At 46.5% G+C, this 19,072-nt stretch overlaps 1 protein-coding gene across 10 annotated transcripts in view, besides 2 other annotated features; it reads left to right on the forward strand.

Moving 5' to 3' along the window:
- Positions 1 to 15,983, forward strand: part of SLC2A10 (solute carrier family 2 member 10) — a 28,028-nt gene extending 12,045 nt beyond the window's left edge. For 3 of the 10 annotated variants that reach the window (XM_011529060.3, XM_011529061.3, NM_030777.4), the window contains exons 2-5: positions 4,677 to 5,960; positions 6,500 to 6,622; positions 8,989 to 9,124; positions 13,392 to 15,983. In XM_011529060.3, coding sequence (XP_011527362.1) covers positions 4,677 to 5,960; positions 6,500 to 6,622; positions 8,989 to 9,124; positions 13,392 to 13,470 — 1,622 coding nt within the window. In that variant the 3' untranslated portion in view covers positions 13,471 to 15,983. Of the gene's footprint in view, positions 1 to 4,676; positions 5,961 to 6,450; positions 6,623 to 7,804; positions 8,264 to 8,988; positions 9,125 to 13,391 lie in introns of those variants that run through there. The other 7 variants (XM_011529062.3, XM_047440529.1, XM_011529065.3 and 4 more) reach the window with 5 other exon arrangements.
- Positions 5,237 to 5,737: an enhancer, noted in NCBI's record as "H3K4me1 hESC enhancer chr20:45354240-45354740 (GRCh37/hg19 assembly coordinates)". NCBI's record gives its function as "activates a minimal SCP1, AML or CMV promoter by ChIP-STARR-seq in primed H9 embryonic stem cells {active_cell/tissue: H9 hESC(primed)}" and the evidence as "EXISTENCE:reporter gene assay evidence [ECO:0000049][PMID:30033119]".
- Positions 5,738 to 6,238: an enhancer, noted in NCBI's record as "H3K4me1 hESC enhancer chr20:45354741-45355241 (GRCh37/hg19 assembly coordinates)". NCBI's record gives its function as "activates a minimal SCP1, AML or CMV promoter by ChIP-STARR-seq in primed H9 embryonic stem cells {active_cell/tissue: H9 hESC(primed)}" and the evidence as "EXISTENCE:reporter gene assay evidence [ECO:0000049][PMID:30033119]".

Consider the following 19,072-nt stretch of genomic DNA (forward strand, 5'->3'; position numbering starts at 1 on the left):
TTCAGCCAAGGATTTTGTACCTTCTTCACTAGTTTGTTCATTCATAAAATGGGAATATTGAAACACTAATTTCTTTGGATTTAGGAAGAATTTTTCAGAATTATTATTTTTGAGCTCCTCCTTTACTACCCTTTTCATTTTTCATCTTTAGCCAATGGTCCATTTGGATATAAATTAAACTAATCTAGGACTAAAAACCTCACATTGTAAGATACGGAAGTCAGAATTATTGTGCAGTTTGGTATTTCCTAAGTAATGAAGTAGTTGGGTCATGGCGTGCTTTCCTGATTCCCACAAACTGACCCTTGTGCTCGCTCGTCATGTACTCAGGAATCTTTATTCCATTTTAAAGGAGAAAAATGTTTGAATGGATGCTTTATATATTGGTATTTTTAACACACAGATGTTGTAACATCTTTCATTAATGTGTCAGGAGCCCTTTGGAAGAGACTGATCTAGTAACATTTCCTCATTTTATAGATTTCCTTATTTTATATTCAAGTTATCTATTGCTGTTTAACAAAACACTCCAAGACTTAGCATCTTCTAATAATAATCATCTTATATCTACTAGTTCTCTGGGTTGAATGGGCTCAGCTGGGTGGTTCTTCTGCAGCTGTGGTTGGAATCATCTGGAGGCCCCTGTCTGTTGCCTAAGGGTCTCTCCACACAGTTTTTCCATGTGACAGTGTAGCCAGATTTCTTACAGAGTGGCTTGGGGCTCCCCAAAAAAACATAAAATGTGGAAATTGCTCAAGGTTTAGACCCAGGACTGAACAGTGTCATGGTAGCCATATTCTGGTGGTTAAAACTAGTCACAGAGCTACTCAGATTCAGTGTGAGAGGGAACCACATAAAGGCATAACACCAGGAGGCATGACTCATTGGGAGCCATCTTTAGAGACCAGCTCCCACAGCCCAAAAAGGGCAAGTGACTGGCCTGGTGTCACACTGCAAGTTAGTTACCAAAACAGAAAAGAACCTTGTTTTGCAAATCTCTAAATTATTGTCCTGTCCTCACTACTATATATGTGTAAAAATGACTTGGGGGCCCTACAAATCCCTCAATTAGCAAAAAAAAAAAAAAAAGAGAGAGAGAGACATTGCAGGTTTTTCCATGAGTCTGGAAATTCTGTTGCTCAGTGTACTAATTGGGAGCTTTTAAATTATAATTTACAGAAACCAACTCAATCTGACTAAAAGAACAAAGAGTATTGGTTGGCTCATGTAACGAGAGCCCAGTGGATTGGGTAAGCTTCAGGCACTGCTAGATCCATGGGTTCATGCAATAATATTGGGATCTATTTCTTGTTATCTTTTGGCTCTGCTCTCATCTGTGTTGGTTTCATTTTCATAAAGGCCTTCTGCACAGCATGACCAATGACTATTTTGTTTCTGTAACTTGAAATTCTCAAAAAATGTAGTTCTTTTTTCTTGTCTATGTATAGCAATTCCCTGAGACCCACTTGCTCATCCCTATGTGTGGGTGGAGAGTACATGTGACTGGTAACCCCATCAGTGGGGAAGGGGCTCTTCCTCAAAGGAAAAGATTCCAGGCAGACAGAAGAAGTAACAAATGTTTACTACACCCAGAGGCTTGTATTCCTTGAAGATTTGTTTCCATGTGGAAGCAGTTGAAAACTGGTACCTATGGGTTGCACTCTGAGATGTGTTTTGTCTGACTCAAAGAATATTTTTATATATTCTTGGAACAGCATTTAAAAATCAGAAAATAGTTTATAAAAATCTGGATTTATGGTTTCTCTTTAAAAAAAAAACCAGATCTGGCAGTTCTTGACCTTCCTGTTTTCCAATTTCCTTATCTGTGACATGGAGATATTAGTAATACCTAACTCGTGAGGTTACTGTTCCATGGTGAGCAGGTCTATGCAAACCTACCTCTGAAGGCTGAGGAGCTGAGAGGCCAAAGAAAGAGGCTGACAAATCCAGTCTTGCAGAAAGAAATTTCACAGGGACATAAAAACAGGAGCCATATCTCAGGTAGCCACAAGACCGTGGATTCCCATACCTGACCTCCAGAAAGTATTCTTAATATATCAAGCTTTTAGCATAAAACATGTGCAGCTGATCATGTCTTCAGACTTTCTTGCCAAGACTTGTGACCACTGGAGAGGCTGGATAAGCATCTTTATGAAGGGTTATCTATGCTACAGGCATTTTTAAAGAACTTACTGTAGAACAACTTGGTATGTGGGGCCCAAATATCCATCATCATGGTGGTTTCACTTCAAGATGGCCTCACTCTGGCCATGCAACAGGGTGTTTTCCTACAGTTGTGAGGATTACATGAAATGATGCGTTTAAAGTTTCTCACACTATGCCTGGCACATAGGGATCAGTCATGAAATGGCAGTTACTCTTCTAATAATTTGCCTGAGATTATACAGTCGGTGTGTTAACAATACCTGGAGCTGTGTTGTGACTTTAGATGAGGCATGAACTCTCCAGTTTGGCAATCCCCACCATTCTTTGTTGTCTCACATGCAGCCCGTGTTCCTCATTGATCTTAACTGGCAGCTCCCTGCTATATAGCATTTCTTCTTAGTTTTCGTTAGCACTCTTACCTGGACCCTTGTACTAGCCTTCCAACCTGGGTTTGCTCTTGCTCTTTGGTTTCACTGCTAGGAATAGAAACTGGAAATAGCATAGTTTCACTAAGTCAGAAATTGTTGGGATTTTCTTCTTAGCACATAAAAATATATGGAGATTGACAATCCATTGTTGGTATGGTAGGCTTACTGCCATCAGGGACCCATTCTTCTTCTATATTTCCATCCTACTATGTCGGTGTGTAGCTTGCATCCTCATGGTTACCCCCCATCATGTTCCAAGATGGCTGCTGAAGCTCCAGTCATCACACCTGCATTCCAGGCAAGAGGTAAGGGAGCTAGAAAAAAGGGCAAAAAAGATCTAGCCAGCTGTTTCCCTCCTCACCCTCTTCTTGGAGAGCTTTTTTCAATGTCCCACCAAAAAAACTCCCTCTTCCATCTTAGTAGCCACCAATAGCTGTGGGAAAGGTGGGAAATGTAGTCTTTTAGCTGGATGTAGTCCTGATACCAAAGAAAAAGGGGTGAATGGACATTGATTGGGCCACATTCACCTCATTTAGCATCTCCATACAACAGCAAGAGCAATATTTTAAAAATTAAAAATAGATGACCGATTTGTTTCCTGTTGGGACTCATAAAAAATGAAAAATAAAAGTAGATCACCTCATTCCTGGCTGAAGCCAGCAAAGGCTTCCAACCACTGAGAATGACATTCCTCATTGTCCTCTTGACTTGCAAAGCCCCACATGATCTGGCCCCTGCCTATTTCTCCTGCCTCATCATCTCCCATCACTCTCACTCACTGGGCTTCAGCCTCTGGCCTCCTGTCTGATTACCTCAGTGATTAAAGGTCCTCACTTTAGCCACATCATCTCTACAACTTACTTGTTATGTGACCATGAGAAAGTTTCTTAACTTCTCTGCACTTTGGAGGATGATATGTTATAGGGTAGCTGTAACAATTAAATGAGAAAATACATATAAAGCTCTTAAAACAGATTCTGGCATTTAGTAAGGGCCATATAAGTACTAACCATTAATATCCATAGTTGTTCAAACACCAAGAACTGTCCTACCTCAGGGCCTCTGTACTTTGTGTTCACTCTGTCTAGGATGTTCTTCTCCCAGATTTTCCTGGGACTTTCATGTCACTCAAATCTCTGCTCAAATTTTTGCTCTTCAGAGAGGCCTTAAAATAGTACTACTCCATCAACCTTAATTCTCCTTCCCTGCTTCATTTTTTATGACATCTTCACTATCTGAAATTATATACTTATTTATCATCTTCCTATTTCTTCTAGAACTTTAGATCCTGGACAACACATCTGTATTCCAGCCCTAAGAGCACTTCCTGGCATGTTGTAAATGCCAGATAAATAAATTTAGATGGATGGATAGATGGATGGATGGATGGACTGATGTGTGGATGAGTATACAAAGGGATGAAATACAGAGATGGGTGGATGAATGGATGGATTTGTAGATAGACTGATCAACAAATTGATGGATGGTTGGGTGAATTAAGGTATAGATAAATGGACATGCAGATGGATGAATATTTGGATGGATGAAGTAGATGAATGGATGGAGGATGCATAGATGGATGGATGGGTGGTTGAATAGATGGAGTGGATGGAAGAATGGATGGATAGTTAAATGGATGATTGAACAGATGGTGTAGATGGATGGTGGTTGGATGGATGGATGGATGGATGGATGGATGGATGGATGGATGGATGGTTGGAGTGGATGGATAGATGGATAGATGGATCAGTGAATGGTTGAATGGGTGGTTGAACAGATGGAGTAGATGGATGGAGGATGAATGGATGGATGGTTGAATTGATGGAGTGGATGGATGGACAGATGGAAGGATGGATGGATGGATGGATGGATGGATGGATGGATGGATGGTTGAATTGATGGAGTGGATGGATGGACGGATGGATGGATGGATGGATGGATGGATGGTTTGAATGGATGGTTGAATAGATGGAGTAGATGGATGGATAAATGAAGGTGTTGACAGATGGAGGGAAGGTTGAATGGATGGATGGTATGACAAGGAACCATTCTAACTCTGTCCCTCTCACTTTTGTTTTTTAGGCCACTCCCCACCTGTCCTGCCTTTGTGTGCCTCTGTGTCTTTGCTGGGTGGCCTGACCTTTGGTTATGAACTGGCAGTCATATCAGGTGCCCTGCTGCCACTGCAGCTTGACTTTGGGCTAAGCTGCTTGGAGCAGGAGTTCCTGGTGGGCAGCCTGCTCCTGGGGGCTCTCCTCGCCTCCCTGGTTGGTGGCTTCCTCATTGACTGCTATGGCAGGAAGCAAGCCATCCTCGGGAGCAACTTGGTGCTGCTGGCAGGCAGCCTGACCCTGGGCCTGGCTGGTTCCCTGGCCTGGCTGGTCCTGGGCCGCGCTGTGGTTGGCTTCGCCATTTCCCTCTCCTCCATGGCTTGCTGTATCTACGTGTCAGAGCTGGTGGGGCCACGGCAGCGGGGAGTGCTGGTGTCCCTCTATGAGGCAGGCATCACCGTGGGCATCCTGCTCTCCTATGCCCTCAACTATGCACTGGCTGGTACCCCCTGGGGATGGAGGCACATGTTCGGCTGGGCCACTGCACCTGCTGTCCTGCAATCCCTCAGCCTCCTCTTCCTCCCTGCTGGTACAGATGAGACTGCAACACACAAGGACCTCATCCCACTCCAGGGAGGTGAGGCCCCCAAGCTGGGCCCGGGGAGGCCACGGTACTCCTTTCTGGACCTCTTCAGGGCACGCGATAACATGCGAGGCCGGACCACAGTGGGCCTGGGGCTGGTGCTCTTCCAGCAACTAACAGGGCAGCCCAACGTGCTGTGCTATGCCTCCACCATCTTCAGCTCCGTTGGTTTCCATGGGGGATCCTCAGCCGTGCTGGCCTCTGTGGGGCTTGGCGCAGTGAAGGTGGCAGCTACCCTGACCGCCATGGGGCTGGTGGACCGTGCAGGCCGCAGGGCTCTGTTGCTAGCTGGCTGTGCCCTCATGGCCCTGTCCGTCAGTGGCATAGGCCTCGTCAGCTTTGCCGTGCCCATGGACTCAGGCCCAAGCTGTCTGGCTGTGCCCAATGCCACCGGGCAGACAGGCCTCCCTGGAGACTCTGGCCTGCTGCAGGACTCCTCTCTACCTCCCATTCCAAGGACCAATGAGGACCAAAGGGAGCCAATCTTGTCCACTGCTAAGAAAACCAAGCCCCATCCCAGATCTGGAGACCCCTCAGCCCCTCCTCGGCTGGCCCTGAGCTCTGCCCTCCCTGGGCCCCCTCTGCCCGCTCGGGGGCATGCACTGCTGCGCTGGACCGCACTGCTGTGCCTGATGGTCTTTGTCAGTGCCTTCTCCTTTGGGTTTGGGCCAGGTAAGTGGAGTTTTCTTGCAGGTGACTCTGGAGACTTCTACCCCTCCTAGGGGGAAGTTTGGGGACTTCCCACCCTGATGACCTGGCAGGGTGTCAGTGGGGCACTAGAGGTGGGTTGACCATGAAGCCTCAGGGCCCCTCACTTACCTGCAGTTGCTCCTCCCAGGGCCAGTGCCTAATTTTATGTTTGTAATTTGTATTCCTTAAAAGCCTCCCCAAGTCATTTGAGCTTCAGGTCCCTTAAAGCCCGGATAGCTCACAACTGGAAGGAATTTAATGAATAGCGTGAAAACCAATCATCCCAGTTCGTCCAAGACTGTTCCCATCTCGGCATTGAAAGTCTCATGTCTCAGAAAACCTCTCAGTCTTCAGCAAACTGAGACTCTACTGTAATTCTTATAGCAGAATGGGAGTGGGAGTTTAGTATCAGGAGCCTGACACTAGAAAATCCCATTGTTGAGAGGCTGCATGTTTGACCTGATGGTGCCAGGCCCCAGGTCCCACCACAGCCCAGGAGCCCTCCTGCTCTCCCACCCTAGTGACCTGGCTTGTCCTCAGCGAGATCTACCCTGTGGAGATACGAGGAAGAGCCTTCGCCTTCTGCAACAGCTTCAACTGGGCGGCCAACCTCTTCATCAGCCTCTCCTTCCTCGATCTCATTGGTGAGTCCTTCCCAGACAAGTCCGTTTTTTTTCTGTGGCCCAAGCTCCCTACTCTAAAGCAGAAATTTTTGGATTTTCCTATGTATTAGCTGCAGAACTATTATTCTGTGCAGAAACATCATCAAATGTCCAAGACGACATCCAGGACCCTCATATGCACTGTAAAACTCCCCAGGCCAGCTAATGGGTGATGGTCTACACCCAGTACTGGTGAGAGGTCATCTGAGGTCAACCGGCAGGAGTAAGAGTAGCAATGTTTATTTGCTCCAAACTGGCTTAAACTGGTTCATGACACCTGCCAGGTGGAAGTTTTTCTTGGCTTTTCTTTTCTTTTTAATTTTTAATTTTTTTTGAGATGGAATCTTGCTCTGTCACCCAGGCTGGAGTGCAGTGGCACAATCTCAGCTCACTGCAACCTCCACCTCCCGGGTTCAAACTATTCTCCTGCCTCAGTCTCCCGAGTAGCTGGGACTACAGGCACCCGCCACCACGCCCGGCTAATTTTTGTATTTTTTGTAAAGACAGGGTTTCACCAGGTTGGCCAGGCTGGTCTTGAACTCCTGACCTCAAGTGATCCACCTGTAATCCCAAAGTGCTGGGATTACGGGCATGAGCCACCGTGTCTGGCCTGGAAGTTTTTCTCAAATCAAGTTTGGGTGACATCATCTCTTCCTCCCTAGCATTGAAACCCATTCTGAGGTGTGGTGGGATGGGGTGGAAATGATGTGGGCCCAGAACACCAGGGAATGACTCTGAGATGCTGAGATGCTCATGGCTCCAGGCCCTGGTCTTCAGTGGGTATTGCTCATCTGGGCCAGAGTACACAGGCTCCTTCACTGTGGTCCCCAAGGCACAGTTCTTAGGGTTCAGTTATTTTCCTATTCCCTATGGCCAAGAGTTTCCTTCCCAAAGGTGCAGCCAACTTGGGAGGCTGGGGGGCAGTGCTGTGGGAAACCCCAGTGGAAGAACCCCCCCTATCATGGCTGTCTTCCAACCCCAGTCTTAGGGAATCCAAGCTTCTCCCTGCAGCCTCAGTCTTCAAGCATTTCCCTTTGTGTGGAGTAAATGAGTGAGAGAGGAGAAAGAAGGAGAGAAACAAGGAAGGGAGGAAGGAAGGGAGGGAGGGAGGAAGGAAGGAAGGAATTTATTAGAATTGTGTCATATATCATCCCCATTTCACAGATGGGAAAATACATCCTTACCCCGTCCAGCCAGGGAGTCAAAAGACTAGAACCAGCCCCACTGCCTTCCAGCCCATTGCTCTCCCTGCTGGCGATAGGTCCAGCTGGTCATGGGAGGCTGCCTAAAGGAGGTATGGACGTGGCTGTCAGAGGTGAGAATGGCTTCCAAAACATAATTTGTCTTCCACCTTGACAAAGATCCTTCCTCCACAGCCTCTTCTCTGTCTTGGGATGAATGACATCAAATGACTCAGGGTCATTCCCATCTTGGCTGCTGGTTCTGAGACCCACCGGAGGCTCTAGGAGGAGGCTGACTCTGGGACTGAACTGTGGCTTTTGTCCTCTCTCCCAAACCAGTCACAGGTCAAACTGGCTGAAACTCAATTCTCTGAATGATCAATTCACTGAATGACCGATTCATGGAATTTCTGGGTGTGTTTTTTTTTTTTTTTTTTTTTTTTGAAACAGGGTCTCACTCTGTCGCCCTGAGTGCAGGGTGGAGTGCAGTGGCATGATCTCGGCTCACTGCAGCCTTGACCTCCGGGGCTCAAACAATCCTCCAGCCTCAGCCTCCCGAGTAGCTGGGGCTACAGGTGTGTGCCACCATGCCCAGCTAATTTTTTTATTTTTTATTTTTAGTAGAGACAGGGTTTCACCATGTTGCCCAGGCTGGTCTTGAACTCCTGAGCTCAAGTGATCCTCCCACTTTGGCCTCCCAAAGTGCTGAGATTACAGGCATGAACCACTGCACCAAGCCCAATTCATGAAATTTCTAAGGATTTTTTTTTTTTCAAACTGAGATTTGCCAAGGCCGTGTCCATGCAGCTGTTTGGCCACTCAGCTGGATCCACGATCCCTCAGGCCAGGCTTTCGGAGCCCAAGCGTGCTCCACGGGATAGTGCTCTAGATGTGGGTGAGGGGCCTTTCCCATAAACACAAGTTGCCTTTGTCTCTGTGCTTGTGGACTTGCGTCCTGGCTCATCCCCGCCTTTGAGACAATCAGCGAGATTTCCGCTTTAAGGTACTTCACTGACAGCTTATTGGTCACTCTGCAAATTGACCAACGGGAACATTTGCTTTGAGTGAACTGACTTTCCATGCCTGACCTAGAACCTACCAGTTGGCCCAGGCTGCGGGGCCAGAGTGCTTGGTCCTGGGCCTACACTCCCGCCCTCCTGTTTCCAGGCACCATCGGCTTGTCCTGGACCTTCCTGCTCTACGGACTGACCGCTGTCCTCGGCCTGGGCTTCATCTATTTATTTGTTCCTGAAACAAAAGGCCAGTCGTTGGCAGAGATAGACCAGCAGTTCCAGAAGAGACGGTAGGAAGCTGACAGGGTGGGTCTGGGGGAAGAGCTGTAGCACACCCCAAGCACACAGCTTCAGGATTTTAGTCTTTGTGCTTTCCTTTTGCAAGCGGGCATTCCTCCTGTCTTCCTTATTGCCTGGGCACTATGAGTTTTTTTTTTTTTTTTTTTTTTTTTTTTTTTTTTGAGATGGAGTCTCGCTCTGTTGCCCAGGCTGGAGTGCAGTGGCGCCATCTCGGCTCACTGCAAGCTCCGCCTCCCGGGTTCACGCCATTCTCCTGCCTCAGCCTCTCCGAGTAGCTGGGACTACAGGCGCCCGCCACCACGCCCGGCTAATTTTTTGTATTTTTAGTAGAGACGGGGTTTCACCGTGGTCTCGATCTCCTGACCTCGTGATCCGCCCGCCTCGGCCTCCCAAAGTGCTGAGATTACAAGCGTGAGCCACCGCGCCCGGCCGGCACTATGAGTTTTGTCCGGTCACACACAAACTGTTTTCCTTGAGTTGTTTTGTGTCTCCCTACAGTGCCTTTTCATTTGACTTTAAGACCCAGCTCATGGGGATTTAAAAATCATTTGATTATGGAATCACAGGAGGCTAGAAGAGTAGAATCTTAAAACCATAAACTATCTTAGAGTCACAGGACCTTGGAGTAGCAAAATATCATAACTATGGCCTTTAAACATTGCACGCAAAACGCTTGTGGGCTTCATGCATTCATTCCGTGGCTATTTATTAAGTCCTTACTCTGTGCCAGACAGTGTTCAGAGCCTTAGGAAACATGCTGAGATTAAGGAAGACAAAGTGCCTGTCCTCAAGAGCTTCCATTTGATGGGGGAGGGAAGCCAACAAATGCATAAACAAGAGCGTTTTAGTTGGTGATGAGTAATTAGGAGAAAATGAAGCAGAGCAAAATATGTTGAGAGGGCCAGGTTGACACAGGAGGAACAAAGAAGAAAGGGGTTGTGGCTGAAGTAGAGTGGGTGGTGAGGGAGGGAAGTCGTCTCAGAGGAGGTGGAATTTAAGTTAGTGAGAAGGAGGCACCCACGTAATGATGAGGGGAGGAGCATTCTAAGCAGAAGGAACAGCAAGTGCAAAGGCCCTGAGGTGGGCATGTATCTGGCATGTGCAAGGAACAACAAGGAAGCCAGTGTGCCTGGAACAGAGGGAGGAAGGGAAGAGCGTGGAGGGTCAGACAGGCCAGATGGGTAGGATCACATCAGGTCTTCAGGTTATTGAGGGGAGTTCAGAATCTTAGCATCATGAGACCTTAGGCTGTTCAAATAAAAGAAGAGTGAAATGGGAGCTTCAGAAGGAACTTCAAAGTGCTACAGTCCTAAGCATCCTTGGCAAATATCCCCAGTTACCTCTTAAAAGCAGGTGATAGTCACCAGCTCCTGACTGCCCATTCTGTTTCTGGGAAGTCATAAAACGTTTTAAAAAATCATTCTATTATTGACTAGCATCCCTGCACTGGCTGCTAAGCCCCACCCCAATCTGGATCCTAATGTAAGAACCTGTGACCCAGTCCTCCCCACCCCAGAATGTTCTCTCCTACTTTGTTGAGTGGAACCTTCTGCAGTTTCGGCAGGCGCCTCAGCAACCCAGCTGTATTAGTTAGGAAATCGATTTGGCTGCTTGAAGTCGTCCAAATGTCGGTTGGGGGTCCAGGGTTGGGTGGATGCAGCATGCCATGAGCTCATGTAGGGTCCCAGGCTCCTTCTGTCTTGTTGCTCTGCCACCTCTTCCATATCACCTTTCCTGCATGGCCTAAGGAGGTGCACCCCCACATACCTGCCAGAGGATGGGGGAGGGGAAGGGGTGGGCACAGTCCTCAAGGTCACTTCCACCCACATGACTTTCCATAGAACTTGGCTACACCTATATGCAGGGGAGGCCAAGAAATGTGGTCTTCAATCTGGGCAGCCATGTGCCCAGCTAAAAATCGAGGGTTCTGTTACTAGACAGCTGCCTGGCATCTCTGCCACACTGGTTTTCTTGGGAGAAGATTCCAAATCCATCCTCTGGGATAAAAAGCAACGGAGGCAGAAACGCTGGTGGGAGCCAGCTTTGGGGTAAGGCAGGATGTGACTGCAGCTGCGGGGTGTCAGCCTGGACCTGGGGTTACATGGGGGGAGCCAAGGCCAGCCCTTGGGGACTGGAGGCTGGGTCTGCTATGACTCTGGAGAAGACAGGAAGTTAGGGGTTTTTGTGGAGTCCAGAGGCAGGTCTGTGTTTTATCATCTCTGTCCCTAGAGTTCAGGGGGCTCTTGATATCAGAGGCCACAGAGAGAGAGAGAAACTCGACTTTAGGAACACAGGGACCAGGGCATGTCCAGGGATTTTGACAGCAGGAACTAATGGGATAGTCTTTTCAGCAGCAACTATTTTCACTCCTGTGTCCTCCATACAAGAGCCATGGTCCCAGGAGAAAGTCTGATTGGCCAAGGCTGGTTTATGTGCCCACCTCCTAACCCCTAACTTAGCCAGGATAGGGCAGAGATCCTTGATTGACAGTCCAGTCAAGCCACATGCCACGTTCCCCAAAAATGGGAGGCAGATGCCGGTAGAGCCGTCACCCACTGCTGTAGGGCTGACTTATTCTGCATCCCTGTGCCTCAGATGTGCTTGTTGGAAATGGGGACCTACATCTTATGGATCCAGCTCCTCTACCTGCTTTAAGGACACATTAGTAATACAAGGGGCTCAAATCGTCTTACATCAATCAATGGCAATTGGTTGCCGAAATGTTGTTTATTTTGCCTTCTTATCAGGTTATTTCTGCTCAAAAGAGACCTTTACCAATCCCTCAGGGGATATAACAAAAAAAATTCAAAAATTCCTGTTTTATCCCAGTTTCTCAGGAATCGATTCATTCAACTTTCAGCAAATATTTTCAAGTGCCGGGCACTGTAGTAGGCTCTGGGGACAGACCCATGACCGGGAGAGACCCTGTCTCTGGACTTAGAAGGAAGTTACATTTTAATGTATAGGAGAGAGATAGACTACAAAACTCAAAAATGCACAAATAAGATAATTCAGAGTTTTTATATCATGAAGAAAATAAGGCAGGTTAACCTACCAGGGGGTGAACAGCAGATTTGGGAAATGGATAGTTTCTTTAGCTAGGGTGCAAACAGCTATGGGTGCATTTGTGTTACAAGTGTATCAGGAATTTTCAACAAGCACGGTGATATTTTTGTGTATCGGTTTCACTCACTGCCCTGTTTCCAGGGCCTAGAACAGTGCCTGGCACTGTCATCTTTAATCATATCTCTGGCTGAATGAATGATGCTCAAGGAAGGCTGCTCTGAGCTGAGACTGGAATTACAAGAAAAAGTCAATGGTTTCTAGAGCTGGAAGAAATGTTCAAGCAGAAGAAACAGTTTCAAGAGCTGGAAGAAATGTTCTAGGTGGAGGGAACAGCAAGAGCAAAGGCCCGGAGGTGGAAACAAGTTAGGAGTTTTGAAGGGAGAGACAGGAGGCCTATGTGGCCAAGGCGTGATGAGCAAATGGGACTGGAGGGGTTGGTGTGGGGGAGGGCAGCCATGGTGAGAAGATGGGATGTTAGGCTGAGCATGATGATGGTCTCCTTCTGAGCAGATGTATTAGTCCATTCTCACATTGCTATGAAGAAATACTGGGTAATTTATAAAGAAAAGAGGTTTAATTGGCTCACAGTTCTGCACTCTGTACAGGAAGAATGATGCTGTTGTCTGCTTAGCTTCCAGGGAGGCCTCAGGAAACTTACGATCATGGCGGAAGGCGAAGGGCAGCCAGCACATCTTCCATGGCGGGAGCAGGGGGTGGTGCTGCACACTTTTAAATCACCAGATTTCATGAGAACGAACTCACCATCTCAAGGACACTACCAAAAGGGATGGTGTTAAACCATTCATGAGAAGCTGCCCCCATGATCCAATCACCTCCCATCAGGCCCCACCTCCAACACGGAATTACAATTGAACATGAGATTTTGGTGGGGACACAGATCCAAACCATATCAGTGGAGAGTGACAGATTTTTGCGTTTAGGAAGGTCATTGTAGATGCAATGGTGACAAGGGGCTATAGGAGGCCAGGGAAGACCCAGGGAGACCAGGGAGGAGCTGCTAGGGGGTCCAGGTGAGAGAAGGTGGACATTTGTAATAAGGCAGGAGGCAGGAAGGGTCATGGTAGGAGTGAAGGTGGGATTGGGTGGTGGGAACCCCAGTGGAAGGTCCACTCCCCAGGGACGGCCCCAGGCCCTGCCACCCCCTGATCCCACGCATTCTTTGTCTGACAGGTTCACCCTGAGCTTTGGCCACAGGCAGAACTCCACTGGCATCCCGTACAGCCGCATCGAGATCTCTGCGGCCTCCTGAGGAATCCGTCTGCCTGGAAATTCTGGAACTGTGGCTTTGGCAGACCATCTCCAGCATCCTGCTTCCTAGGCCCCAGAGCACAAGTTCCAGCTGGTCTTTTGGGAGTGGCCCCTGCCCCCAAAGGTGGTCTGCTTTTGCTGGGGTAAAAAGGATGAAAGTCTGAGAATGCCCAACTCTTCATTTTGAGTCTCAGGCCCTGAAGGTTCCTGAGGATCTAGCTTCATGCCTCAGTTTCCCCATTGACTTGCACATCTCTGCAGTATTTATAAGAAGAATATTCTATGAAGTCTTTGTTGCACCATGGACTTTTCTCAAAGAATCTCAAGGGTACCAATCCTGGCAGGAAGTCTCTCCCGATATCACCCCTAAATCCAAATGAGGATATCATCTTTTCTAATCTCTTTTTTCAACTGGCTGGGACATTTTCGGAAGGGGGAAGTCTCTTTTTTTACTCTTATCATTTTTTTTTTTTGAGGTGGAGTCTCATTCTGTTGCCCAGGCTGGCCTGATCTTGGCTCACTGCAACCTCCACCTCCTGAGTTCAAGCGATTCTTGTGCCTCAGCCTCCTAAGCAGCTGGGACTACAGGCGCATGCAACCATACCCAGCTAATTTATTTTTAGCAGAGATGGGGTTTCACTGTGTTGGCCAGGCTGGTCGTGAACTCCTGAGCTCAAGTGATCCACCCACCTCAGCCTCCCAGAGTGCTAGGATTACAGGCCTTTTGACTCTTTTATCTGAGTTTTATTGACCCCTCTAATTCTCTTACCCAGAATATTTATCCTTCACCAGCAACTCTGACTCTTTGACGGGAGGCCTCAGTTCTAGTCCTTGGTCTGCTGGTGTCATTGCTGTAGGAATGACCACGGGCCTCAGTTTCCCCATTTGTATAATGGGAAGCCTGTACCAGGTCATTCTTAAGATTTCTCCTGACTCCAGTGAGCTGGAATTCTAAATGCTGGTCTAGGAGCTGTCTCCAGGATGGTGCAGGATGGCTTTGCGGAAAGGAGATGGGTTTGGAGGCCAACAAACCTGCTTGTCAATATTGCCTTTGCCTCTTGGCAGCCCTTGAACTTGAGTAAATAACAACTCCCTGAACCTCAGTTTCCTCATCTGCAGAATGGGGATAATTATGTCCCAGGGGTATATTTAGACCCTGTTTCCTTTCAGGAGGGTCCCCAGCTGGTCCAGGGCCTGGGAAATTTCTACTTATCCTCATTACCCAGGTCCCTCCTTTGGACCCTGTAAAGGGTCAGGGTGAATCAGATGGGGGACTGAGCAAGTAGCTATGACTGCAGATCATGTAAGGAAGGGACTGACAAGAAGCTCCCAGATGCTGGGGAGAATGAAGAGCTAAAATAGATCCTAGGTGCTGGATGCTTTGTCATCCATGCGTGCACATATGGGTGCTGGCAGAGCCCCCAAGGACTCTGGCCTCTCGAGTTCTCCTATCTTCTCCATTCTAGATGCTTCCCTTGTATCCAGTGATGTGCTGGAGCTGGCTTTGCCAAGCTTGTGAGAGCTGGTTGCTACATTTTCAGGATTTTTACAAGTTGGTAAACACAGCCATTATAAAAAATTAAATGATTTAAATTTATAATTAAGTAAATTACATTAAAACAAAAAAATTATACTCAAAATTCATTACTTAATTTTACTACCTGTTACTATTATCTGTGCTTTTGAGGCTATTTCTACATAGTAACTCTTATGGAGACCTAGGGGAGACACCGCGCATCTCTTCCTGATTCCCCACTCAATGACATCATGTTAGTCTTTGGTTGCTTAACTGGCTGTGGGGAGTGTTTTTGTATCACAAAGATTAGAGAGGACTACACATCAGGGCTTGATTTATTGTTTGTTGATTTTCTAGACTTCAGAACATGCTGGATAAAATGTCAGTAATGCAAATTAAACTTTAAAGTATGTCTTGTTTGTAGCCAATACATGGTGTATAGCACCAAAAAATGGAGGGATTATTCTTCCAGTAGTTGAACACTGTCATCCGTTTCAGCTGACAGCTGCTCAAATCATTTAAGAAGGAGTTCTGACATTCATTTTCATTGTTTTACTTTTGTCTTCCTCACTAGTGTAAACAAAAATTTCAACCAGCATTCATGCCGAACCTATACCCATTCTTCAGTGCCTAGCTGTACAGTTATCAGGGATTTTTATTTGTAGTCTAATTTTGTCAAATCATGGCCAAATCGCAGTGATAGTTGACTTTGGATACAAGGTTTGGCAAAAAAAAAAATATTAACAAAATATTCTGTAAGAATCAATTGTCTATATGGAATTTAGGATAAAGAATATTTACAATAAAGAATATTTACAATAAAGAGTTTATTATTATTTGTAAGTTGTGTGCAACAAACATACCCTTTATCTCTGTAAAATTTATACACACAAAAATTAACAAAAGATTCTGTAAGAATTAATTGGCTATATGGAATTTAGGATAGAATATTTACAATAAAGAGTATTTACAATAAAGAGTTTGTTATTATTTGTAAATTGTGTGCAACAAACATATCTTTTATCATAGTAAAATTTACACACACACACACTTTTCTTCCCTGGAGAGCTGTTGTTAAACATTTACCAGCACACTACTGCTTAGAGCTGTGCTTGTGGCCCCTTCAGATCTCTTCTCTCTCCAGGGACCCATAAACCTCACTCAATTCTCCTTTCCTCTCCTATCAGCCTGGAAGAATGCTCTCCTAGTCCTAGGGTGAATTCTCCACTTTCTTGCTCCAGGTTATAAACTTGGGGTTCAGGTAGGGAATATAAATGAGTGAAGCCATTTAAGACATTAGGGAGTAGTGGGGTCTGTGGAAATGGGGAAACACAGGGTCTGTCTATAAGGGTGACTGACCCTCAATTCCAACTGGTGGCTGCCATGTGACCCTCAATTCCAACTGGTGGCTGCCATGTAGGAATGTGGGCCCAATGTGGCATGGCCGTCTGTGTTTTCAACAAATTCCAGAAATTCACACTTTGGTGCAAATTTTATTGATTTTTAAGTTTTGGCAGTTGATTCCAAACTTAAAAATAGCTTGGAAGTTAAACAAAATACTCCGTGGCTAGATCACAGACCTCAGTCTGTGCCTCTAATCTCTATGTTTTTCCCTCTGAGACATTCCTTTCTTCTGCATATTTGAGGCACTTGGCTTAATCTCCTTAAAGAATCATGGCTTTTGGGCCGGGCTTGGTAGCCTACACCTATAATCCCAGTGCTTTGGGAGGCCGAGGCAGGTGGATCACTTTAGGCCAGGAGTTCGAAACAAGCCTGGTCAACATGGTGAAGTCCTGTCTCTACTAAAAATAAAAAGATTAGCTGGGTATGATGACACTCACCTGTAGTCCCGGCCACTTGGGAGGCTGAGGCAGAGAATTGCTTGAACCCAGGAGGCAGAGGTCACAGTGACCCGAGATTGTGCCACCGCACTCCAGCCAGAGTGACAGAGCGAGACTCTGTCTCAAAAAAAAAAAGAATCACAGTTTTTGAAAAATAAAATGCCAAGCAAACTGAATACCCAAGCACTTGAATTGGGTGAGTGAAGGGGCTATTACTGAACCTGAAGTATAAGACACCTGGAGGGAATGAAAATAGTCCACACCTCAAGCATCTTATACTGGCACAATTAGGTGCGTGACTTGGGGAGTTGTTCATCTCTATTATGGGGATGACACTACTTAACTCTTCAGAAATGACACATGTCAGTCACTTAGTGCAGGGTTCATAGTGGGTGCTCCTAAATGGCTAACTGTCCCAACAGCCTCCAGGGCCATCTGGCTTTAGGTAAGGATAATGAGGCCAAAGACCAGGTGGTAGTCTGGAAGGGGAGAAGGGGGCATTAAAGAAAGCTAAAAATTTGGGGGACACCAACTAGGTGCTCAGTTAGGAGGGTTTTTTGTTTGTTTGTTTGTTTTTGACAGGGCTTGCTCTGTTGCCCAGGTTGGAGTACAGTGGTGTGATCTTGGCTCACAGCAACCTGAAACTCTGGAGCTCAAGCGAACCTCTCACCTCATCCTCCCAAGTAGCTGGGACTACAGGCATGCACCACAAAGCCTGGCTAATTTTTAAATTTTTTGTAGAAATGGAGTCTCCCCATGTTTCTCAGGCTGGTCTCGAATTCCTGGGCTCAAGCAGTTCTCCCACTTCGGCCTCCGAAAGTGCTGGGATTACTGGCATGAGCCACCACACCTGGCCAATGCTCAAAGATCTTTAGCACCAACCAGAGGAGAGAGACAGTCTGTTCATTGGTCTGCAGGGAGAGCACTGGGAAATTCTTCTCCTTCCCGCAAGTAACTCCAGAATCGCTTCAGGGAAGCAGTTCCCAAACCTCAGTCTTGTGCACAGTCCTTTAATAAAATATGCCCATCACTTAGCACCTTTGGTTATTTGCCAGATTGTACTACACAGACTTCTTGCTGAATGCTTTTCTTCACATTTATTTGCTATTCCACTTAAATAAATGTATTTTAAAAGGAAACTATGTTAACCTATTTTTCCTTCAAATGCATATTTATTGAGTGTCTTATATATGCCAGTCACTGTTCTAGACCCTGGGGTCACAGCAGTGAACACGACAAGGTCCCTGTCCTCATGGAGCTCTAGTAAAGGAGATAAATTCTAAACAAGAGATGGGGAGGAAGGGAGGGAGGAAAGGAAAAAGGAAGGAAGAAAAGAAAAAATGAATGAAACAAGGAAGGAAGGAGAGAAGGAGGGAAAAGCAAGTAGGTAGAGAGAAGTTAATTAGTGTGAGTGCTAACAAAAGTTACAAAGCTAAAGAGAAATTGGGTGAGGTTCAGATGCAGATGCTTTCATGCCATGTTAGCTAGAGTCGCTAGGGCAGTCAGGAAGAGCCTCTTTGAGGTGCTGGCATCTGAGCAGAGACCTGCATGAAGGGTTAGAGTGAGCCATGGGATGATTGGGTGAAAGCATCCCAGGCAGATGGCACGGCACAGCACGTGCAGAGGCCCCAAGGTGAGACTAAGTTTGGCATATCAGAGGAACATTAAGGGGGTGTGAGCAAAGGGTAGAATGATGGAAGAAGAGGAGGCTGAGCTTAGCACGGGTCTGACTATGAAGGGTCTTCCAGACCATGGAAATCCCTCAGATTTTATTCCAGATGTGTTGGGAAGCCCTGAAGGGGTGTGAGCAGTGGACTGACATGATCTGACTTGATGCTATAAAATAGTCATTGGATGTTGGTGAACACACAAAGTGAATATCAACTGCAGAAATAGGAAGAAAACAATAAAATACTATGAAAGCAACAGATTCAGTAAACCCTCACCAGCCATTGTTATCTACTGAAGATTCTGAACCTAAGGTCTGCTCTGTAATGAAAAGGGGAGCTTAGCGGGTGTGAGAGAGGTGTTCAGGACATAGTAGCAACAACTGAAGACTTTCTCTTTGTCTGGATTGAAAGAACAACAATGCAATTCATCATATTTATATGGTGTTTGTGAACCACCTAAAATCATTTCCAGTGCTACTGGTATTATGCTTCTGACTCTGGTAAATACAGCTTTAAGGTGAGAATACCAAGGAAGTCACAAGCACCGAGAGAAAGTTGACCTCTTGTTACTTTCTC

The sequence above is a fragment of the Homo sapiens genome, chromosome 20 (assembly GCF_000001405.40).
Source record: "Homo sapiens chromosome 20, GRCh38.p14 Primary Assembly".
NCBI classification, from domain to species: domain Eukaryota; kingdom Metazoa; phylum Chordata; class Mammalia; order Primates; family Hominidae; genus Homo; species Homo sapiens.